The 874-nt window shown below is 36.5% G+C and overlaps 1 annotated feature.

Moving 5' to 3' along the window:
• Positions 594 to 673: an enhancer, noted in NCBI's record as "active region_3382". NCBI's record gives its function as "activates an Ori minimal core promoter by ATAC-STARR-seq in GM12878 lymphoblastoid cells {active_cell/tissue: GM12878}" and the evidence as "EXISTENCE:reporter gene assay evidence [ECO:0000049][PMID:35858748]".

An 874-nucleotide genomic window follows, 5' to 3' on the forward strand; every position in this document is an offset into this window, starting at 1 on the left:
TATTAGTGAATAATAGGGGCTTTTTACAGAAGTATAGAAGGAGTAGGTGATAACACAAATGACTTGAAAATTTAATGATTAATGTACAGACGTACTATCTTCATTTTGAAGACTGTTGTGAATTTTTCTACTTCATAGCCAAAAGGAAAGTGGACAATATCCCTCCTCTGCAAAGATTAACATCACTCCCCAATCTCTGTCCAAAAGTTGAATTGCTCTTATCACTGATGGCAATTTCTGAATATCAACTATTGCATTAAATATTGAATTATTACACAGATCACACATTCCTTTTGGCTCTGCTGTATCCACAAATAAACGTTAGCCCTCAGAAATTATAATCTAATATTCAAGAAAAATAGAGACTTCTAGTCTCTAAAGGTTCTTCTCAATGAAGTGATACCTATACTACAGCCTCTGGTTCTATCACTATCTGACCCCAAAATCACATTTTTGATGACCAGTCATGAAGCTGTGCCATGATTAAAGCAATGTTTTTCCAGGTCTCCAGTAAGACTTTTTGTTTACAGTGTGAACATGTTTGTCTCAGGCACTCAACATATTGCTGCTTTGGTTTCACTACCTCTCTCTCAAGCACTTTCACTTTCATTACGGCTAATAATACAAACTCCAAACAACTATCTTTAGCTATTATCTCCTCATTTTTCTCCTTGACCATACACTTTGGCAATTCCCTAGGGGATAATATTATATCTCCAGATTTCAATAGTTGTATTTATCCCCTGTTATTTGCCTCAGAGATTTCACTACTATAATTCCTAGGTGGGTTGGTGGGCCTTTAGGCATCGATCAACTTCTCTTCATTCCCTTCCCACCACTGTTCTTTCTCCCACAACATAGTGATTGGTCCTAT

The sequence above is a fragment of the Homo sapiens genome, chromosome 10, assembly GCF_000001405.40.
Source record: "Homo sapiens chromosome 10, GRCh38.p14 Primary Assembly".
Lineage (NCBI taxonomy): Eukaryota > Metazoa > Chordata > Mammalia > Primates > Hominidae > Homo > Homo sapiens.